Source organism: Homo sapiens, chromosome 3 (assembly GCF_000001405.40).
Source record: "Homo sapiens chromosome 3, GRCh38.p14 Primary Assembly".
In the NCBI taxonomy this organism is placed as follows: Eukaryota; Metazoa; Chordata; class Mammalia; order Primates; family Hominidae; genus Homo; species Homo sapiens.
Window position 1 is genome coordinate 60,839,654 of NC_000003.12, and position 25,387 is coordinate 60,865,040.

The window sequence follows — 25,387 nt, forward strand, 5'->3', positions numbered from 1 at the left end:
TCCCCAAAGACCTCTAGGGACTGCAGCTCATTTGTTGTCCCTCTCCCTCTCCCGTTTATTATGCTGACCCTCTGCCCAGCCACATAGCTCACCCCACCCCCTTAGAAGCATCTAGAGTTGGCTCTAGACATGAAATGGAATAGATTTCTGCATTTACATAACTGCTATCGCACTTCTGGTGAAAAGTAGTTTCAGAAAAACACAGAAAAAAATAAACAGAAGAATAAAAAGTGTCTATGTGATAACATAAGGGCTTATTTAACTACGTCTTTATTTCCTTTACAGTCCAACTATTTTTTTTTTAAAACTGCATGCCACCTTCATGCTGCCTCTCAGAGGGGACTTGATCTTATTTAGACCCGGTGGCGAGGGTCCTTCAGCTCCGTGAGGAGCTCTCTAGCACTCAGTCCTCTTTAGAGGAAAGATATCTTCAGAGCCTAAAGGCCTTGAAAGAAATGACACATTTTTAAAAACAGAAAAACAAGCATGAAAGTGGCCCATCAGAAATGAAGGTGTGAACTAGAATACAATAGACAGCGAGGAAGGAGCCAAAAATCCTCACCCAGGCAGGCCAGGATATATGCAGATAGGGAGGAAATTGGGAGGCATTCCTTTGCTAATAAAGATGATTTTTCTTCTAATTTTCACATCTTTCATGATGTATCTTTTGTTTTTTGTTTTCTCTCTATGACTGCTGTTCTAAAATAAGTGGGCTTTAAGAATATGAACTACAGTCCGCATGTTTGCCAGCCCCATATTCTGCGATGAACTTGACATGTGAATGAATCAATTCTGCAGAGGTGAAAAGTTATTCCTACAAAGTCCCCAGTTTTCCTTGTGAGAAAGATCCCTACTTACCTGTAAACTTGTTAATTAAATGTCAAAGGTTTTTATATCAAGGACAATAACACAAGCCAACCTGGGAATCTGCTTGTCTGAAATAGGTAAAGAGTGTCTGTGTTTATTTAGAATTGATTGTACACTTTCCTTCATTCTCTACATAGATTTTATTTTCTCCCCACATTCTTCTTTTTCTGTATTGCCTTGAGGGCTTTCTCTTATAATTATGTGACAAATTATATCTGAATTATGTTCAAATAAGCAAGGAGACTGACGTTTTCTGTTAAAAACATATGGCCTATCAGTAATGAATGAAGTTTTGCCCATATCATGACATGACTTTATTGAAGGCACCATCTCATATATGCAGTTTTCAATGTGGTGTCTAACAGATTTGTGTAAAATGTCTAAAATTAAGCAAATGCAATTATATGAGTTAGTATCATCTTATCATGTACATTTTGCTTGATAATAGAAAAGCAAATGAAAAGTTTATTAGCTTATTACAACAGTCTGTTTTTGATTTTTACTTTAGACTCTATTCCTCTTTATTTTCTCCTCTTCTGTTTCGGGTCATTATTTTATCTGGAGAACCCAAAATCCAATTCTTCATCTGTATTTACCACATAGATCTTTAGATTCTCTTACCAATCCAACAGATTTCTGAATATTTAACTACCCTATTGTAAGTTGTCTTGTTTAGAAGAAATGGAATCTAAGATTGTGGCAGTAAAGGACAAGCTGTCAATGTGTTAAATAAATTCCTGTTGAAAAGTAACGGCATGCACTGTGTGTTAACATAATTTATTAGAACAATTAGAACCCATCCTTGTTGTCTTTTAATTAGATTATTCCCTGTTCTGGTAATTACACTAGACAAGGGAGAATAATAGTCTTGGGATTCTAAAATCATCTGTAGACTATGTGGAAAGAGAATAAATAATCAATAATGCTAATGTACCGGAAAACTTAAATTCCCAGAAAGAGATCTTTTATCATGAGCAATCCTTTGTATAAACAGCATTATTTCTCAATGTCTATGCTTATCTTGCCCAAAGTTGAAAAGTGAAGACACTGGACAAATAACAGATATTTATTTTACTGTCAGAAACCTGGTTGGGCTGGGCCACCTCTGGCCTCTAGTGGCTCAGACATTGCTTCAGTCCCTTGCAAAATGCCAACAAGAAACCGCAAATGAAGGATTTAAAATTCCATGCAGAGCAGCATATCTAGCAGTCTGAATGCCTAAGGGAAAGGATGCAGGGCTTTTAAGTTCTGGTCCTAGGTGAGGAATCATAAAGTTCCTCAATTTAAAAAAATATATACAAATGGACAAAAATGTCTTAGAACTGAGAAGGCTACTAAATATTAAAAAAAAATTTCTGATATTTCCATACATGAAGATGTTATTTGCAGAAATTAATAGGCAGGCTGTATGTCAGGAAAGTTTCTGGCTCTCAGGGATGGGCTGAGGCCTTTAGATGTGAATCGAACTACATCTCTGGTTTTATGTTTGGAAGACCATAGGGAATTCCAGTGCTCCAAGGACGCTCCGAGGGCCTACACAACTGTCATCAAGCATGTTAGGACATCCTAGAGAGTAGTTCCCAAAACTTCTAGGCTTCAGAATCTTGACAAAGTCATGGGTGGGCATATCCTGCCCTCACGGATAACCCTACAGTTGAGTAGAAGGATGCTGGAATGCACAGAATTGACACCAGTGAATCTGGAGTTCTCTGTAGTAATGAGCAACACAAATATCTCACCAACAGTCCCACTGTTATCCGAGTCTGCCTTAGTCAATGTAAACTCCTAATGAGACCATGTCTAGACAGTATTGATCTCCCACCAGAAAAAAAAAAAGAACTCAGAGTGTGACTTCTTTTCTAGCTTAGCCCAAATGACACCCTAAAACATGCTCTTTCATTCACTCATTGCTAACACTTTTCATAACCTGAGATATTTTATCAACTAGGCAGCCAAGGACCCATAGGCTTCTTCGCAAGGTATATGTGATATTTTTTATATTTAAAACATCTTTGATATTCAAATAGCAGATAAGAAAGTTACTTAAGCTTATTAAAGAACCTAGAGAAATTAAATGAGTGTATATATATATACATATATATATGAGTGTATATATATATATATATTTTTTTTTTTTTTTTTTTCCCTTGCTAGGCAAAGGAGACAGGCCTTTAAAAAATGAAAGTCCACATAAGATTAAGGTGTGATCATTCAAGTTAATGTGGGCAAGATATCTAAAGGAGAAATCATTAGCTTAAGCTATCCAAAGGATTTTACACACAGTCCTGTGGTTTAGGAGCAGAGGATCACCCGTACTACTGTGCTATCCATCCCAGCTGGGAAGACATGGTTCTTTATAGAAGTACCCCTTAAAATTGTCAGGGGTGCTATTAAGTACTTAGGGTTCCCCACTATTCTTATCTCCAGACTGGTCAAATCTACCAGGCATCTTTCTGATATATCAGATAGATATAATCTATCATAGATATACCAAAGATTTATTTGCATCTGAGTGTCCTGTGGTGAGGCATTCCACAGCAGGCTGTGCATCAGGTCTGTCTGCAGAAAGTAAGAAAGAAAGGAATACAGTTTAAAATTCACGTAGGAATGGAGTTTAAAAACTCCCCAGGCAATGTGAAGGTGAGTTAGGACTGGGAACCACAAGCTAAAAAGGAGAACCACAGAGAATTCTTTCTGACTTTGGGGCTGAAATGAAGCTGACCGAGGCATTCAGGTGGTTCCAGAGGCTGGAAAGTCTCATACGACAGGTTTTTTTCTCACAAAAGAGAAGTGAAATAAGTACCTTATTATGTTCCAATAATATCAAGATACAAATCTATCTTTTAGAAAAATGCTAAATAAAAACACAGTCAGAGAGAGACTTCCACCACTATAAATAGTTTCTTATAAATGCCACCTAGAGACAAAATTATCATTTCTATGATCCTAACCAAAAGAGCCTTGCATGTCTTGGAAATACTTTGCCCTCTAAAGCAACCAGAAGAACATTCCTTCAGTCTATGTGTTCTTGTGCTGGATTTTGAAACTTTTGAGCATTTGCTCCCAAAGTGAAATTTAAAAGGCTAACAGCAGGGACACCTGGATAACTAGAAAACTTACCTATTGATATCACAGGCTGCTTCTCCAAATATAATTTCTTGCAAGCATAGTAAAAATCCTATACTTGTTTGAAATGAAATGAAGGAAAGCCTATCATGAATTTCTTTTTCTCTGTGTTAATGAAAGACACGAGCACACCATGATAAGCAGGAGAGAATGACCTAGTGTTCATCCTTCTCTTCTTGTCCAACGCAGGTAACTATAGGTGGGCTCTGGGTAGAGTATATGATTGCTGCATATTTCTAAGAAATAAAGTTAATTTACAGGCTACCTCAATCCTGACACTCTAGGGGTAAGGCAAGCACGCATGTATGTATTTCTGGTAATCAAGAGGGAGAAATAGCAGTGAAAAATAGAGCTTGGATATATATCTTAAAGACATGCCACTGATTTCAAAATAGGGCAAGAGCACTTATGATTTAATATAATTTTGTTGGAAAAAGTTAACTCTCTCCAAGGAAATACAGAGCTTAGCAAATACCTTATAAATAATACAAAGGCATACTATAGTGTTTAGTAGAATCTTATTCACCCATTCTGATTTGGACAAATGTTAAATGAGACAAACAGGAGAAAAGTTTATTGATTAGGTAACCGATTAAAATTTTGGTGAAAAGCAGAAGTAGTAAGTTCCAGAAACAAGAAATAAATCATGTATATCAACAAGAGGAATGAAGGCATTTTGTGCAATCCTGGGGAATAGATTTTCTTAGGTATTTCATAAAATCATTGACTCTAGGGCAGGAAAAAACCCTACACACATAAACCCACAGCATTCTTTTTCCTGCCTCCACAGTTGTAAAGGCCCGATGATAAAACCTGTTTCCTAAGACTTCCCCAGAATGTGATTCAACACATTTTCTATTTTTTTAAAAAAAAATTTCTGCCACTTAATTTCATGTGATAATTTTCCCCAATGACTAACCAAATATGCTTCACTATTATATAAATCAATTCTTTCTTAATGCCACAAGTGAAAGTGCAAAGGTAGCTAATGGTTTTCTTCTCATAAAAATCACACTTTGGCTTTTTCCTTTCATATGTAATTAATCATATTTGTGACAATCTTCCAAACTTACTTGAAATTTTTCTGAATCCCTTTCAAATCAGGACAAGAACTAGAAATGTCTATACAGGTTTAATATGAAGTAAAGAAAATGTTTTTCATTTTCTTGATTTATTTCTGAATTCAGCTTGCTCTTCATTAGCGCTACATAGCTGCCTTATTATTCTTGGTCCCCTATGACCCCCTGATCATTTTCCCTGAGGGTGCATATTTATTCACTAACTATGTTACAATCATGTGATCTGCTGGATTTTTTCTGATAGTCTACTCTAGATTTGTTCTAAATTAATAAATCCCATTATTTTTGGCTTCTACTACTTCTATTTATTAAATTCATTCTGAATATGAAGTTTATTTTCAAAGGAATTCATAATTCTTTACTCCAAGCTTGGTTCTAACAATGAATTTAATAAGAATTGTATTTAATCAATGTTTAAATATATTAAGGGCAAATTTTGTAAAAATGTTAGTGTTCCAAGCTTTCCATTTCCCCACAAATTAATTTTTTTAGCCTTTCCCCTTAATCCACTTTCTTAAAAAATAAAATTTTTTTTGTGATGCAGAATTATGTGAACAATAAGAAAAAAATAATTAGAAAGGTAGGAGTAAACTAAAAACAAACAAACAAACAAAAAAAAAAACCAAAAAACTAAGGCTGCAGACTTAATAGAACTACCATAGCTACTTAAGGGTAAATGATTAAGAGAGAGACAACGTCTGGCTTCTGAGCAGAGCACAGAGAGAAAGATCACCAGGAAGAAAAAAGATAACAGGGAATTTTAAGGACAGTTGCCATGTGTAATGCATAAAATAGTTTTCAAAATTCTTGGAGAGGTAAAAATAAAATTTAGATTTATTTTTTAATTATTTCACTTGCGATGCTATCTTAAGATTGAACCACATGGGGCCCCAGAATTTATTTAGGTTATACAAATATCCTCCAATTCTGATGCTGATTATTTCATATGCAGACTTCAGTTACCTTTACATGTCATAAACACACATACCCCAGAAATAAACTTGATCATCCCATAAATTTTCAAGAGCTCTCAGCCTGCTGTAAATGAAATTTCACCATTAACTCACAGGTCGATGTCTGGGACAACCTCAAAGACTGCTTGAGTAATTAATAAATTTATATGAAAACATTGGAGTGAAAATGTCTGTCAGTGTCAAATACATAAGAGGTAATGGCTGATACATAGTAATGCAGTTTTAAACCATTGGCAACATATCTAAACAAAGGTATCAGAGAAAAATAAAAGAAAACCTTGTAACTTGTATGATAAGCCTCTTGCATAAGATTATTAAGAAAGTCATAAGCACTTACGGCTTTATTCCTTTTCTATATAGATAGATTGCCCAGAAAAACGTGGACTGAACCTCAGCTGGAATCTGAGGGCTCTGCTTGTCTTTAACAGCTTAGCTACATTGTTAGAGAGCAACACTACATAATACAGCATGCCCTATTCTTAAGGCAATACATAAAATTTTAAAACCTGAAGCTAAATTAAAAGGTTATCACCCTTCTGCCTAATGTATTATATATTTGTAAATGATATCTGTCTCTAAAAAAGATGTACCACAAAGCAAGAGCATATGTGAAACAATAAGAGAGAATGTAGGAGTTAGAAACACATTTAGGTATGTAGGAAACACAAACTTCAAGACATTCCCAAGGATCTAAATAACCTATACACAAATATAGCAAAGTCATATCCTAAGGGAGAGGATTTGAGTTCTAAAGCCGGAGCCTAAGGTAAATGTTGCATATAGTCAAACTTACCATTGAAGATCACTTTAATCACCTGTAGGGTGCAAGTTACATTGCTTTGTGTATTCAAGACTGACAGTGAATATTTGAGAAAATCAGTTGAGTTAGAATAAAGAAGGAAGCAAAGAAAAGTCCACCTACAGATATTAGGGTATTCAAACAACCTCTTCTTTAAGAAACTAGCAAATCTCCACCTCTGAGTTTTTATCAGGTAGGTGATGAAGTGCAAAGCTGTAAACCCTCCAACAGGGCTTATTCCACTGTTTTAATATTCACATTTCATAACTTGGACATATGCATTAATGGATGTATTTGTCATTGTTAAGATTAAGTAACATAATCTTTCTTTTTTTTTTTCTTTGAGATGGAGTCTTGCTCTGTCGCCCAGCCTGGAGTGCAGTGGCATGATCTCAGCTCACTGCAACCTCCGCCTCCCAGGTTCAAGCAATTCTCCTGCCTCAGGCTCCCGAGTAGCTGGGATTACAGGTATGCACCACAAAGCCCAGCTAATTTTTGTATTTTTAGTAGAAACAAGGTTTCACCATATTGGCCAGGCTGGTCTTGAACTCCTGACCTCAGGTGATCCACCCACCTTGGCCTCCCAAAGTGCCAGGATTAAAGGCATGAGCCAATGAGCCTGGCTGATAACCTTATTTCATAAGCAAAAGCATCATCCACAGGGTCTGGTCCAGAGCAGATACTCAATAGGGTGCTACATTTTAATCTAACTCTTGTTTCATCAGACCCACAAACACATTGCTCTTTAAAATCCTGTAGAGAAGAATATGACAACCTGCACCTTTTCTTTCCAAGATGGCATTTCCAGTTAGGGTACCTCTGAACAGCTGTTGCTTGCACATTTTAGGCATGGTGAAGATCTACACCTGATGCTGGGTTCCTAAGTGGGCATATGGTGAATCCACTGCACACAGAAGCACTTCTTTATGCTTGGATCACATTGCAGAAGATTGGACCCCTGACTGGGGCTACCTTTCCCAAGCCTTAACAGCACATCAGGCTCAAATCACAGGGCTATCAAATGAGGAGATCCCCTTTTCCAAAAAAAGCATCCCTATCAACTCTCCCAGGAAAGCACATGAACTCATGTTATCCATTCATTCTTATCTTGGAAAATACACCCACAAGCCCCTTTTACTGCCACTTACAGTAGGATGCCACAAAAATTCAGAAACTGGAATCCTTTTCCGTCCCTTCTCCTTTCCTTCCTCCCTTTCTTCTTTTCTTCTTCCTTACCTTGAAATTTCTGCCTGTGGTAAAACCACAGGAAGAAGGAAAGTCAAATGAATTTTCCTATTAGTCGACATTTCTGTGATACACTCATTTTTTTTGGTCCCCGTATGAACTCCCTCCAGGGTATTTCTTTATGGGAATAAAGTATGCCAAATGAAATAAAGAACTTGAAGCACAATTTTATCCTTGACATATGTAGAGAGAATATGTTACTCCTGAATTTATGGTGCAATGCAACTCAGTCACTTCCTTTTCCTCTTTCCCCTAGTTTGCACTTCCTACTTATTGCTGCATACCATCACAAATTTATGGAGTGCCAATGGCTGTGGCCTCTAGGCAGCTCCCAAATGACTGAATCCAGACATCATTGTCTTCAGTTCCCCTTTGGCATTAGTCTATTTTCCATCCCTCTTCCTTTATTGAAATCTGCTTCCAATTATTTTTCATAAGATGGTTTAGCTTTCTTTTATTTCCTTTAAGTTGAAACTCTTTTATTTCTACCTTTCATTTCTATGCCCTCCTGGGCCTTAAGCACAGTTCTTCTACATTTACAGGGGTTTTCATTTAGAAACTATTGAGAACTTTACTATCAAATTGTACTTTTTAAGATAATTTTTTTGCAATTTTAACTAAAAGGAGATTTTTAGACTTTTGGAAAGTCATGGCTCCAGGTCTCAGATCTCAGCTGTAGGTTTTATCACTTTGCAAGATGATGACTAGAGTTACAGCACATTCTTTCAACCCATGCCCAAAACTTCAAAGATGGCCACCCTTCAACCCCTGAAGATTTCAACTCAGTGTTTTCAGAAAATTGGAGGTCCAGGCTTTGGAGTCAGACAGATATGGGTTCAAATCCAGCCTCTGGCACTTAATTTGAATACAACCTAGAGTAAGTCATTTAACTTTCCTGAGCTTTGATTTCCTTATCTGAAAAATAAGAATATAGATACTTACCTCACCATATTGTTATAAAGATGAAATGAGGTAATCTTTGTAAAATATACACAATGTCTAGCAGGTGGTAAGCATTCAAACTGGTAGCTATTTTTTATTGTTATGAGTTAAAATTTTGTATATAATGGATTTTTTTTCCAAGAAAGCTCATCAAGCTGACCTTAAGTAGATGTTACTCCCAAATACCACCCAATTCCATGTCTACATACTTGAGAAGTTACTAAACACTTTAAAATTGAAATTGAAAACTAGGGACAAACATAGATTTGAAACCAAAGGAATAGGTAATCAGTTATAAATTTGGATATAACATTATGAGCCTCTATTTCAGAAAATACATTCCTTTTAAAGTATATTTACTATAGTTATCCATGCAGACTGAATATTTTTATCAATAGTTGCAAAACCATTTCCTGAAAGGGAAAACCATGTAATTATAACTAGATTTTCACATGTTAACCTTTTATATAAGGGAAGAACAAGAAGTAGATATTTGCTAAGAGACTGGGAAGAAAGGGAAGAGAAGGGAGAGAGGGAGAGACAGAGAGAATGAGAATGAAAGCAAAGAAATTTGACAAGGAATACTATTTGGCTTTTGGCCCTTCCGTGTACCAACGTAGATGTGTGATTATACCATTTAGGATTGTTGTCAATTCTTTCCATAGGAACAGACTGAACAATGAGACATCTACCTCTCAACCCAAAGAGAATAAAATTGTCATTTCCCTACAGGACTTTTGTTAATACAAAAATGAAATATATATATATATATATATATAAAATTATTATGATTTCAAAAATAAAGCCAAATATCTAAATGAAACCATGAAAATAATTAGCTCCGATCCAACAGAGTAAGTGAGGTTTTTACTTTGGAAGATAAGTAAATTCTTTCAGAGCATGAGAATGAAAAATTGATTGATTCCGATCTGATCTCTAAAAAGAGCAGTCTGATTTACTTTGGTATCAAACAGACCTGCTTCTAAATGCCATTTCTGCCATTTACCTGTTGGGCAAATTTCTTACCTATGCACTTGGAGTCTTCACCCTTAAAATAGGTATGAAAATAGGTAGAAAATAGGCTTGCCATGCTTTCTCTCTCTCTCCCTATATCCCATGTCTCTCCAAGGAGCAATTCCTAATGTAATTGATCAAATTCAAGCATATGGAGTCTTATTTACTAAGTGGCATGGTCACTATACAATAAACGTGACTTCCCCCACTTCTACTTCTTCTCTTCTAAGTTGAAAAAACTCTAATCTCTCAGGTCAGGCTAACTATTTCCTTCCCTCTTTCCTGCCTTCTTTCTAATTTGAGGCAATAGCATCCATGAGCCCAGGCGATGTCAGGGATTCTTGTTTTTATCTCAACACTTTCATTCTTCCCCATCCCCTCACAGGCCCCCATTCAGAATTCTTAAGCATGCTATTTGCTTGAGGGGGCATTTAGGAAGTCCCATTTAAGACCTCTGCCAGCTCTAATCTTATCTCTTCAGAGAGGCCTTCGCTGACTATCCAATCTAAAGTACCTACCTTTATCAGTGTTCTACACTGGAAGGTATTGGGCACAGGTGCAACTAATAATAAAGTGGGTGGTACTTTGTTGCCATTTCCATGTTAGGGCCTTTGTGTCTGCACTTCTCTCTCTCTCTCTCTCTCTCTCTCTCTCTCTCTCTCTCTCTCATGCTCTGCATCTTTAAATCACTAAGGTCTCAGCTCTAATGTTATCTCTTCAGAGAGGCCTTCCCTGACTATCCAGTCTAAAGCAGACTCCTCATTCCCACCAACTCACTCCATTACATTAATCTTTTATTTTGTTAATAGCTCTCATTGCATCCCATTACTTTCTTCTTTATTTGCTTGTTGCCCATCCCTACCTCCTTCCCAAACACACTTATTAAAACACCATGAAGACAAAAAGGTATTGTGCTCACCACTTGTTTATCCAGAGCCAGGTGCCTGTCCAAAGTAGATGCACACCTGCCATGTCCTATGGCCAACCAGGTCCAATGAATTCCTTTATAAAGCTCCTCTCCTCAGCTGACCCAGAACACCAGCTGCTATACTGAAGGCTTTCACACTTTCAGATGAGGTGTCTTTATCTTATAAATTTCTTTTCTCTAAGCAGAATTTATATAACCTACTCATTACTTTGAATAGCATCTTATTCAGTATACCTTATTGGTATTTTTCAGTAAACCCTGGTATAAGGCACACAGCTAAGTGAATGTCCCCACATACCTATAAGAGAGTGGCTAGATGCCTTTCTTACCCACAGGGATGGTTTCAAAGAAACCTTTTACACTCACTCCCATATACACACATACACAAAGGAAAGCTCACATTTGCATTCCAGATCATCTCCAGGAGGAGGGAGGAGAAATACTCTTTTAAAAGAGCAAACCTAAAATTATAATGCTCTTGAAAACATTAGTAGTTAACATTTACTGTTAAGAAAGCCACAATCCCAGACCAAAGATAGCTGAGTGGCATCTTAAATTGAAGATAGTTTTTAAGTCAGAGCTTAGAAAGTCTCTTGGAAATCTCTTTAATTCCCCCACAGAATAAAATATGGTACAGATTCTCAGGAGGTCCAATAGAGGCTTTCCTCTAGCATTAGAACAGATCCTTCTTTGATCAAGGATCAGATGAAGTCATTGGTGTGAATTTACTAGGCATATATTTTTTCATATATAACAGAAAATGTCAACACTGGAATCTCACTCAGCACTAAGATGCTCACACTAAGAGGTTCAGGAAAATGAGAATGACTCCCAGAACCCATCTCACATTTTCTAAGAGGCATATATTCATTGAGGGGAACGTCTAACAGAATGACCTATATTATTTACATCAGTACTTCCTACTCTCACTTTTTTGGCCAATTCTGTGTGATTAAATTGGCAAAAGTTCAATGCACACAAGGTGCAACTCAATTATATTTAAGATCACTCATTTATGTCATAAAGTCTTTCTCAAAAAACAAAAGATGCCAGCCCCACAGAACTTTATCATGTCACATAGACCCCATTAATGCAGTCTATCAACAATATAGACAGATTATTATATTCAGGGAAGTTCCCTCAAGAATTGCCTTACAAGTTCAATTTAAAAAATCAAAATAAAACAAGCCAGTACTGAGTCTTTCTATGGTATAGTTAAACTTGTAATATTTTATACATATTTTTTGAAAGTAGCCTTGATATAAATCCTGAAAAAAGAAAAAAAGCAAAGTCCACATTTCTATAAGTGTCACGATGATAAATTTTATGTATCAACTTGACTGGGCCATGAGGTGCCCAGATATTTGGTCGAACTTTATTCCGAGTATGGCTGTGAGGGTGCTTTGGACACACTTTTAATATTTAAATCAACAGATGCAGTAAAGCAATTGCCCTCCCTAATGTGTGTGGACTTCATCCAATCAGCTGAAGGCTTGATTAGGACAAAAAAAAGCTGACCCTCATGCAAGAAAGAGGAAACTCCTCTTACCTGATAGTCTTCAGCTGGGACACTGATTGTGTCCTGCCTTTGGACTCTAACTGAAACACTGGCTCTTCCTGGGTCTCAAGCCTGTTGATCATTGGACAGAAACTACACCATTGGGTCTCCTGGGTCCCTAGCTTGCCAATGCCAGATCTGGGGACTTGCCAGCCTCCATAGTCACAAGAGCCAACTTCTCATAATAAATCTCTTTCTATACATATGGATACACACATCCTACTGATTCTGTTTCTCTGGAGAACCCTGACTAATACAAATATTAAACCCAAATAAAAACCCAAATGCAAGTATTAAACCCAAACCCAAATCCAAAGATGAACAACTTTCTTCATCAGTCTGGCACCTAACTGCATGTCTCTTTATGAAGTATGTAATATTTTTTCATGAGCTGCCATATGTCATTCCATCACTCGCTCTAGAACTCTTTTAGGCACTTAAAACTTTGTATATTATATTAAAATTTAATGTATCAAGAAAGGATATAGTGAGAATAAACTGAAAAGAGTAGTTACTAATGCCAAATATAAGGCAGTCTTGAAAAAAAGAAATATTCCTCTGTAATCTCAGTACTTTGGGAGGCCAAAGTGGGAAGGCTGCTTGAAACCAGGAGTTTGAGACAAGCCTAAGCAGCATAGTGAGACCCTATCCCCTAAAAATCAAGATTTTTTCAAAAAAAGAAATATTCCATTTTTTCAGTAAAAATATTAAACAAATTTCAAAAGGCAGAATGGACAGCTTATACATATAAACATATAGGGATATGAAACACATAGTTAAATATCTACCTATACTTTTTATTTCATTAATTTAATTGGATACTTAAAAACATGTACTTTACTCAAATTCTTATGTGAGCATCTCAACACATGGTTTATTCAAATTCTGATGTGAGCATCTCCACCATATAAGAGCCTCCTTTTTAGCCCTCCAACTGAGTTTTCCAGAGTTTTCCACAAAACTCCAACTGAGTTTTCTTCCCTTGGTTCAAAACAGGACACTCCTTGAATCATGTATGATGGTGTTTCTGAAAGTTGTCTCTGAAGGCACAAGTACCTATTTATATAATATTAGCAGCTTTTTCTTCTAAATAAAAATATTTCTTTGAACAGGTATATATTTTGATGTCTATGATGTATTTGTCTCTTGTATTGCTTTTTAAATAGACTTTTCAAAATCGCTGTTTGGAACAACATCCAACAGTTGGAATTGTGAAGTCATAGCCCCTGGAATCATGACTAACTGTGTTCAATTTCCCTGCTCCTCTTTTATGGATCCTAGCAGATGACCTTCACGAGCACCCAAAACAAACCTTGGGTGAAGCCACTTCAGCCCACTGTGACTTCCTAAAGCAGTATTTGAAAGGACCCAAATATAAAGCAAGGTCGTCTCTTCTGAGGGATAATAAATTCAGGGGGAAGCAAACCTCACCTTTGTATTTGAGGATATCTGGTGTATTTTAGTGCAATTCTGCCTTTAAGATAAAGTGCCAGCTGACTTAATGGCAGTTGTGATCTCTGCTTCATTTCATCTTTTATCTAATGATCCGCTAGTTAGTAAACCTGCAAATCCTGAAAGAAACATAAGTACTCTTTTTCTTTGCAGTGTAATCACCAACAATAAAGCTTTATTTTTTTGCATTAACATTCAACTGCAATGTATTTAAATGTTCCACATACACAAAAACACCTGATTTTTCCCAAGATTTGTTAAACATAGTCCCTTTGGTGTCCTTAGTAACACTGCAAAGATGTCTTCATGTAAAACTTAATTTGAGTCCTGATTACCTTACTGTGAAAAACCGTAAACACCAAACAAAAGTAAGCATAATATCCAAATGCCTAAAACATAATACCCAGGTTGAAGGAAGTGTAAATGTTCAGATTCACCAGTGGGACTAGAATGTAAACTTCTTGGGTTGTGGTTCCTCCAAATCATCTGGCCACCTGGGTATCATATCCCACAAGCATATGGTAACACTGATAGAGTAAGCTCAAAGTGTTCCAACACCAGGACATTTCATGGCCACATCAGACCAATTGTATTTTTCACTTCCTCTCTTTCCCTAACTTTTCTCATACAAAGCTTCCTACATTTCCTTTGGCACTTAGTAATACTTAAATGCATCTTCACTGTCTTATTCAGTGTTTTTAGCTTTGGAAGGTGTATCACTTGGGATTGCTTTCAGATGCATTAATTGCAATCTAGCTAACCAACAGCCCAACAGTGATTTAAACACAGAAAGCTTTCTTTTCCGGATATGCATGTGTGCATATTTTGTTTTGTTTTTCATGCAACAAGATGTCTGAAGGTATAATCTGACACTGAGCTGGTATCTCATGGTGTCATGAATGCCCCAGCCTACTTCTATTTTTTTTTTTTTTTTCCTCTGCTGTCCTTCAGTGAGGCTTTCACTTTCATTGTCATAGACGGCTGCTGGATCTCCAAGTTTGACACATTCTCCCTAGGCAAGAAGAGGGGGAAAGGCAAAGGGGAAAGAGGATGCCAGCCAAGTCAGTCTCTTTCTAAAAGCTTTCCAGAAAGTTCCATCCAGTGACTTCCACATACATCTGCCCAGCCACAAATGGGTCATACAGTCTTTCCTAACTGTAAGAGAGTGTGGGAAGCTGGATATGAGCTGAGCATTGCTGCTCCAAACAAAATCAGATTTCTGTTAGGAAAGAATGGATGTAAAGTGGATCTTAGGAAGGGAACAACCAATGCCTACCATACACAAGTATTTGTGGTGAGCAGACATGGCTAAGTGCCTCTTCCTATCTAGGGAGGTTCAGGGAATTACTCAAGATCTCTTTTGTGCCAGGGAACTAGGGAGTCAGTCATCTCATTTGCTTTCATTTCCTCATCTCTGAAATTTCCTACTATGGTATTCCTCTTAGAACACCATTTAGAAGTGTTATGGTTTTCTGTTCTTAATCCAAATGTGACAAAATGTATTCTCCTTCTTCTCTGATAACAAAACCCAAATTCTGACGGGCAGCATGTGCTTAGCCTTAGATAATGAATAATGACTGGTCTAACCCAATCATGGCGATACTATGTTCTTTTGCCATTGATTGGTATTCAGTAGTAGGCATGTGACCTAGATCTAACCAATGAGTGGACATACACTGGGGGGACTCATGAAAGATTTTTCACCTTTGGTAAAAAGTCATAGTTGCAAGAGGAGAAAGCCTTTTCTTCATATGCCTCTTCTTTCCTGTTTTAGATGCTGTCATGTTAACGCTTTGTGCTTAGAGCTGTAGAAGCCGTCTTGTGACCATGAGGCAATAGCCAAAAGAGGAAAGAGCCTGAGTATGAAAGACACTGGGTCCTTTATGATATTACTGAGTTGCCAAACTAACCCTGGGATCCTCTACCTCCTGTTTTCTCATAGTAATAAATATCCCTGTGATTTCAGCACTATCACTTTAATTTTCTGTTACAGGCAGCTGAAAGCATTCAGAACTCACATACTATCTTAACATCATCTTCCATGTGTTATGGGCCAAGAGTATATTCAAGAGTGACTACAAAACTACATTCATTGTCGTATCCCTGTGGGACTCCCTTAAAGTTCTAGTGTTCTGTAGTGTACTTTCCACAGCCTAGAAGGATATATGTTTCCCTCTCTCCAGCCCTAAGGAACTCTTAATTTAAGACTGACAAGATGAATGAGTTACAATGAGGGTGAATCCAATTCAAAAGACGTAACAACAAGCAAGAAAAGCAAAGAACCTTGTAAACACCCATGTTATGGAGTGTGAGAGTGTAAGCTTAAGGAGGCTTTTATTTTGGGGAGAAGATGCATCACCTCTGTTTGAATGAGAGAAATTAAGTTGTAATTATGATGGTGTTTCAGTTAAATTATTTGATGTGGAAGACAAGGAGACCATTCCCAACATGTTATTTAGCAAAGAATATGGAGGAGAGGCAGAAGACTGTGATGGAAAACGTTCAGAGGCCATCAACCAAAATGGTAATGCATTCGAGGCAGATAAAGTTGCTTCTTGCTAGACAGAGGTGGGGTGAGCCCTGACATACGTCTTCAAAATTGCAAAAGGCACAGATCTGGGGGGGAAAGGGGGTTGATTCACCAAATCTCAGAATAGCAGAATGGCAATAACCCTACTCCAAGGCTTCCAGTTTTCCTCAGTTTAACTCCTTTTGCATACTGCAGCCAAAGAGATTTTTTTTAAAATGAAGATCACTCAGACTGTGTCCTCTTCCTCTTAATCTCCCCAAAGGAAGAAAAAAACAATGATCAATGGCAAATGGCAGTTGCAATGAAGCAACACCAAGAACGAGCTTCGTGCTCGGGAGAGAACATTGCATATCTTCCTGTGGTTTCCAGTGCTCTACACACTTGGGGAAACTCCTTTAAGTAATGAACCACAGAAATGACCCCTGGAAATATAATCTTCAAAGTGATCTTTTAAAGATCCAAATATTTCCTGTTCCCACTCTGCCCAGAGATCTTCAGTGGCTCACTACTGCTTCCATGATAAGATCCTAAAACCTTGTCACAATCCACAAGGCCTTCATTGTCCATCCCTGCCTGCCTCACTGTCTTTATCTCCCACCACACTCTGCCTTCTCTATGCTCCCACCTGACAACTTCTTCAGTGCGTGGACCCTATTGTACTCTCTCAGGCCTCAAAACCATGTAACATCCTGGACTTCCTCTTCACTGGTCTAATGCCTACTCATACTTGGCTTCTGAGATTGTACTTCACTCCACATGGAGATTATCCACAACCATGCCCCACTCCAAAACCAGGTTACCTTCCCAATGTGATATACTTGCCATAGCACTCAGCTTCCTTTTTTATAATACTCATCACACTTGTGATTGATTGACTCTCTTCTCCTTTACATTGTAAGATCCATAAAGGCAAGGATCATGTCTGTCTCTTTCTGATGTGTAACAAGCCTGAACATACATACAATAAATGGCCAGGTGTAATTTACCATTGTGTGGATGCCATCTTGGGAGGGGGGATTCTAATAGTTCAAGGGCATGTATGAAAAACAGACTCATGGTAAAATAATAAGAATAGAAAAAAGTTACTCAGAGTGGTTTAATGGCTGGGGTATACCTTTTACTATTTTACTTAGACATCAAAGGAAAATCAGTGTCCTCCCTATCATGTTCCATGATTTTGTACAACTGAGTTTAGAGCACAAGCTAAGGTATCAGACAGCATTTGACAGCCCAGCTTCACTACTTATCAGCTGTGTGAGGTGATATAATCCCTCTAATCCCTATAAACCTTAGTTTCCTCATCTTTAAAATGGGGATAATGACAAAAGCTTTTCAATAAGGGTTTGTGAGGATTAAATTAGATAATACATGGAAAGCTTTCATCCCAGTGCTTGCCACAGAGTTAGCATGCAATAAATGTTATAAAGAGTTCTTTATTGTTCTGCCCATCAACATCTGAGACAGAATATAAACACAACTGCTCCTGGGCCTGGTGGCTCATGCCTGTAATCCCAACTTTGGGATGCCAAAGTGGGAGGATCACTTCAGGCCAGGAGTTCAAGACCAGCCTGGGCAACAAAGCAAGACTCCATCTCTACAAAAAATGAAAAAATAGGTGGATATGGTGATGTATGCCTGTAGTTCTAGTTACTTGGGAGGCTGAGGCAGGAGGATCAACTGAGCCCAGGAGTTCAAGGCTGCAGTGAGCCATAATCATGCCTCTACACTCCAGCCTGGGCTTTTTAAGATTCCATCTCTTAAAAGGAAAAATAAATCAACTGGATCACTAGCCTATAAGAGCTTAACAATTGTTAGGTAGTATTACTATGGGTGTTATTGTTTTGTTATTTGTGGCAAAAAGTACTAGTGCTCACCTGAGCACATGACTTCCTTATGATCAGGTAGGTCCATGTTTGTCTTGGTCACTACTCCAGCCCAGTGCCTAGCACAGTGCTTGACACATGGTGTGTATGCAATGAACACTTAATGAGTACTTAAAGATCTAACCAGTATGATAGTGCAGATTCTCTTGTAAGCAAATGAATAGAGAAAGGCAGTATTCCACAGAGAAGGAGACAGGAAAAAAGAACAGGCTTGATTTTACTAAAAAGAAAAACACACTTTTAAGCAGTAAAATTAGAAGTTCCCATTTCAATGGCACAAAATAGAGAACTCACTGAGAATTGTGTGCTATAACATGGTCAAAGCAGAGGCCGATAATGAAGGGAGCAGCATTCAGAACCATCACATGTATGGTCAGCTTTCAGACCCTGAAAACTCGATTAAAACATTCCAGGAAACCGCTGCACTTTCATTCTAAAGGAAGATTGTGAACTCTGTTCACATATTACACCCCTTCATATTGCTTTGTCTACCAGTGTGGCCTTTTATGAAGTGAGGGCTTCTTTCTTCTACCTTGCTCCATGACAATCAAACCCAAAATGCCTTCCACCCTTAAAAGGAAGTTTTGGTAAGTGCCTTATTATAACTATCACATATGACACAAGGCTCACCACTAATCGGAGACAGATGAGAATGAATTACTTAAATAGGACAGAAATAGCCATTCACTTCAAGAAGGTCCCAGTTTCTTGAAAGTCTGTGGCATTGAGACCATTTACAGTTTGCTGTCAAGATTCCTAGCAGTGCTCATTACCTTGGCTAGCAATCCCTCTGGACTACAGAAAACTTATCTGAAATATATATAATCACAGGCTGCAATGCCTAAGTGCAACAGGATGATTTAAAAAGCACCATGATAGTGTTCCCCCAGGACATTCATCTCTCCCTGTCTATTCATCTTTGATCCAGACAAAAACTTGGAATGCAATCTGTATATTGATATTCCCTAAAAAGGATTTCACCAGCTCTTTAGGAAGAATTGTTTTAGCGGCTCTGGAAGTCTAGAACATTCTGCATTTGTGGTATTTACAGCTTTTGTTTCTATTTCATAAAAATAAAGCCCCACTAAGAGCAGTATTCAATTCCTATCCCAATAGGAGTATCGAATAGTGGTTAAGCACATGTTTTTTGGAACGAAGCAGACCTGTGTTCATCTCTGGGCTCCTCATAGACCTCTTCATAAACTTAGGCAAGGTATTCAACCTTTTTGAGTCTCAGCTATATCAGGTAAATTACTATGCGTGCACAGAAGAGCTTAATAAATGTTAGATGTTAATGGTATTAATATTGTTTTGCTGCTGTTTTCAGTTTTTCTAGCAGAGATTATTAGTATTCACCCATGTGCACAGGTAGACCGCATTTCCACCCATGCACACAGGTAGACCGCATTTCCAAGCTTCAGTGGAGTTACGTGGGTCCAAATGACTGAGTTCCGATCAATGGAATGTGGCAGAAGTGATGTACACCCTTTCCTGGATGGGCCTACAGAAATCCTCTAGACTCTACTCCTCACTCTCCTTTTCCCTTCTCAGGCACCCTGAAGGCTACTTGTTAAAGAATTTAGAGCTACAGGATGGAAAGAACCTGGATCCTACCTAAGAACCTCCTAGGAGAGCCACCCTTCAGAAACATTTGCAGTGGATTCTGAATACGATTTTTTTTTTTTTTTTTTTTTTTTTTTTTTTTTTTTTTTGCCGAGCACGGTGGCTCATGCCTGTAATCCCAGCCCTTTGGGAAGCTGAGGTGGGTGGATCACTTGAGGTCAGGAGCTCAAGACCAGCCTGGCCAACATGGTGAAACCCTGTCTCTACTAAAACTACAAAAATTAGCCAGGTGTGGTGGCACGTGCCTGTAATCCCAGCTACTGGGGAGACTGAGGTAGGAGAATTGCTTGAACCTGGGAGGCGGAGGTTCCAGTGAGCCGAGATTGTGCCATTGCACTCCAGCCTGGTGAAGAAGTGGGACTACATCTCAAAAAAACAAAAAGATACATATATATGATATATCTGATATATGATATATATATGATATATCTGATATATGATATATAAATGATATATCTGATATATATACATATGGTATATATGATATACATCATATGTATATATGGTATACATGAGATACATCATATGTATATATGGTATACATGAGATACATCATATGTATATATGGTATACATGAGATACATCATATGTATACATGAGATACATCATATGTATACATGAGATACATCATATGTATACATGAGATACATCATATGTATACATGAGATACATCATATGTATACATGACATACATCATATGTATACATGACATACATCATATGTATATATGACATACATCATATGTATATATGATACATATATATCATGTATATATGATACATATGTACATATATATGTATATATGATACATATGTATCATATATATCAGGTATATATGATACATATGTATCATATATATCAGGTATATATGATACATATGTATCATATATCAGGTATATATGATACATATGTATCATATATCAGGTATATATGATACATATGTACATATATATCAGGTATATATGATACATATGTACATATATCAGGTATATATGTACATATGTACATATATATCAGGTATATATGTACATATGTACATATATATCAGGTATATATGTACATATGTTCATATATATCAGGTATATATGATACATATGTATCATATATCAGGTATATATGATACATATGTACATATATATCAGGTATATATGATACATATGTACATATATCAGGTATATATGAACATATGTACATATATATCATGTATATATGAACATATATACGTATATATCATGTATATATGATACATATATACGTATATATCATGTATATATGATACATATATACGTATATATCATGTATATATGATACATATATACGTATATATCCATATATATGATACATATATACGTATATCATGTATATATGACGTACGTCATATATATCATGTGTATATATGATGTACGTCATATATATCAGATATCATATATACACATATATCCTATATGTGTATATATGATATATGTATATATGATCTATATACATATATATCATATGTTCTATGATATATATGATATATATCATATATGATATATATGATATATATGATATATATGATATATCATATCATATATGATACATATGATATATCATATCATATATCTTTCTTTTTTTTTTCAGTTAAGCTACTGGGTTTTGACGAAGCTCATTACAGCAGTTAGCCTACTTCAGGGTTTCTCAGCCTGGGCACTACTGATATTTTGGACTACAGAATTCTTTGTTATGGAGGGCTGTCCTATGCATTGTAGGGTGTTGAGCAGCATCCCTGGCCTCTATCCTGCTAGATGCCAGTAGTAACCTCTCCAGTAGCCATGACAACCAAAAATGTCTCCTGACATTGCCAAATGTCACCTGCAAAATCGCCTCCGATTGAGAACCAGCAGCCCACACTGGCCAAAACATCACCATCATTGCTATCATCATCATCATAGGATATTGATAGTCTAGTCTCTCATGTTCCCCTTGAAATCACTGCAAAAGGACTCAAAGTTCCAAAAGAGGTCCAGCCCAGTTTTTTTAGGAGAAAAAAGTGAAATGACACTAAAATTTAAGAAAAGGTAAGGGATCAAGCAGTAAACTCAAAGTTATAGGAGACCAAAAAACAAAGTAAGAACCAAAATAAATATAATCCTTTTTTAAAAAAGCTAGTTTGTGTAGTCCCAGCTACTAGGGAGGCTGAGGCAGGAGAATGGCGTGAACCCGTGAGGTGGAGCTTGCAGTGAGCTGAGATCGCGCCACTGCACTGGGCAACAGACCAAGACTCGGTCTCAAAAAAAAAAAAAAAAAGGCCGGTTTGATCACTTTGGTAACCTAGAATAAAATGATTAAAACAAAAACAAACCCAAATATCTGGGTCTAGGAATTTCAATGTGTCTAACAAATGCTTATAGAATATCTACCATGAGATAAGCATTGGGCTGAATATAACTTGGTAAATAAAACAGATATAATCCCTGCCCTCATAGAGATGAAAGGTAAATAAAAATATGGAGTTTTTTGTTTTTGTTTTTGTTTTTGTTTTTTAAGACAGTGTCTTGTTCTATTGCCCAGGCTGGAGTGCGGCAGTGAGATCATAGTTCACTGCAGCCTTGAACTCCTGGGCTCAAGTGATCATCCGTACTAGCTAGGACTATAGGTTTGCACCACCATGCCCAGCTAATTTTTGTATTTTTTTTATAGAGACGCGGTCTCACTTTGTTGCCCAGGCTGGTCTCAAACTCCTGGCCTCAAGGAATTCTCTTGCCTAGGCCTCCCAAAGTGCTTGGGATTACAGTCATGGGCCATTGCACCCAGCCAAAATATGATGGATTTTTCAAACAGCTTAAACACAGTCATGAATTGACCACTGCAATAGGCAGACTTCTAAAGATGTCCCTGCAGGATTCCCATCCCTGGGCCGGGCATGGTGGCTCACGCCTGTAATACCAGCACTTTGGGAGGCTGAGGCAGGTGGGTCACTTGAGGTCAGAAGTTGAAGACCAGCCTGGCCAATATGGTGAAACCCCCTGTCTCTACTAAAAATACAAAACTTAGCCAGGCATGGTGGTGAGTGCCTGTAATCCCAGCTACTTGGGAGGCTAAGGCAGCAGAATTGCTTGAACCCGGGAGGCAGAGGTTGCAGTGAGCCAAGACTGCACCATTGCACTCCAGCTTGGGCGACAGAGTGAAACTCCCTCTCAAAAAAAAAAAAAAAAAGATTCCTGTCCCTGGTTATCCAATTAAACACTAGATTAGGTGCTGCCATGAAGAGACTTAGCAGATGTATCAAGGTTACTAGTCAACCGACTTTAACATAGGAAGGTTATCTTGAATTATCTGGGTATGCCTACCCTAGTCACATGAGGTTGTAAAAACATAAGTGGAAGGTGGAAGAATCAGTCAGAGTGAGAAAGCAGAAGAGGATGCAGGAGCTATGCTGCAGAGGGAAAGTCAGATTCCAAACACAAGAAAGAAAAAGATAAGATGAATCATTGATGGTTCTAAAATGTAGGAGGCTCTGTGTGAGGACCAGAAAGAGGCCTGAGGGAGCTAAGGGTGGAGCCCTGCCTAACAGACATAAAGAAAATAGGGACTTCAGTCCTACAACCACAAAGAACCAAATTCTGTCAATAACCTGAACGAGTTTGGAAGTTGGTTTTTCTGCAGTCTCCAGTAAGAAACACAGCGCTGCTGATACCTCGATTTTAGCCCAGTGAGACATGTATTGGGCTTCTGACTGCCAGATAATAAATGTGTGTTGTTTTAAGTCACTAAATTCATCATAGTTTGTTATGACAGTAATAGAAGACTAATAAACCATTATGCATTAAATATCACAGAAAAGAAAGGGTTTAAGAAAATAGGTATTAAAGTATGCCTTATCACCTTATCATTCATCAATCTGAGGTTTACTAAACACTTGATGGGTGCTCATTAGTGGAATAAATTAATGCACTCATATTTTCATTCATTTGTTAAAAATATGCATACAGTGCCTCCTCTTTGATGGTCCCTGGGTGAGGTATTGAGGTTACAGTAGTGAAATAGGTATTATCCTCTGTTTATAACAGCTCATAATGGAAGTGGAGGACAGAAACATGTACATTCAACAATAATGCAAAGAACATAATAAAGATATTAACATCATCATTATAAAACTATCAGTAAAAGTGTGAATAAGGGAGTACAGAATAATAATTACAGCTGACATCTATTGAGTACTTGTCTCATTTCCCTTCACAACAAGCCTATGAGACTGTATTAGTCCATTTTCATACTGCTATGAAGAAATACCCGAGATGGGATAATTTATAAAGAAAAAGAAGTTTAATGGACTCACAGTTCCACATGGCTGAGAAGACCTCATAATCATGGCAGAAGGTGAAGGAGGAGCAAAGGTACATCTCATATGGTGGCAGGCAAGAGAGCATGTGAAGAAGAATTGCCCTTTATAAAACCATCAGATCTCATGAGACTTAATCACGAGAACAGCATGGGAAAAACCTGCCCCCATGATTCAATTACCTCCTACCCACTGGGTCCCTCCCATGACATGTGGGGATTATGGTAGGTACAATTCAAGATGAGATTTGGGTGGGGACACAGCCAAACCATAGCAGAGACAGACCCATGATTCATACCATCTTGCAGATTAAGAAGCTGAGGTACAGGCAGGTGAAGAAACCAGCCTAAAGTTACTATCGGTAAGTGGTGGAGCTGGAATTTTAACACAGGAGGTCCAACTTTAGAGCCCATGGTTTTAAACACTTCATTGTGCTGTCTCTCATTGCAGAAGGGTGAGGAGGCCTCACAGAAGGGCTGAGATTTGGGATGAATACCTTCATCAAGAAAAGGAGGAGCCAGTAGAAGAAACTGCATTGGTAAAGCCAGAGATTCAGGAAGAAGGTGGATGGTGTGGCATATTCTGGAACAGGGCTCTGTATTGGCAAGGAGGGGTGGCAGATGAGGTTGGAGCCTAAGTTGTCCTGACTTGAAAGACTTGAACCTCTCAGCAGTTTGAATTTCGTTCTAAAGCTATCAAAAGAACCTATTCAAGAGCATGATACGGTAAATCATCTTCAGCAACTCACATATCATTTTTAACATTGTTTCAGGGGATATTAGTGGACACTCTTAGGAACGCAGTGTATAGCCCACAAGTATAATGACACTTATTAATACAACTTAGAAAACACCCTTTGAAAATGCATCAAAACCCTAAAAGATTCGATTAACTCTATGGAAATGAGGATAAAGGGTAGATGCATGTAAGAATCCAGCTGTCTTCTATCTACAAAGCTCTTCATATCCACAACCACAGAGACACTGCTCAGCTTCTGAATCGCCTTAGTTCACAATAAAATAGAAATAAATCATAATAAAATAAAA

At 37.6% G+C, this 25,387-nt stretch overlaps 1 protein-coding gene and 1 non-coding gene across 8 annotated transcripts in view; both read right to left on the reverse strand.

Moving 5' to 3' along the window:
* Positions 1-25,387, reverse strand: part of FHIT (fragile histidine triad diadenosine triphosphatase) — a 1,504,176-nt gene that overhangs the window by 1,092,377 nt on the left and 386,412 nt on the right. The gene's annotated exons all lie outside the window — the stretch shown is intronic.
* On the reverse strand, positions 16,736-16,952 carry LOC124906379 (small nucleolar RNA U3). The gene has a single exon (XR_007096343.1). It is a non-coding gene; the product is annotated as a small nucleolar RNA U3 (small nucleolar RNA).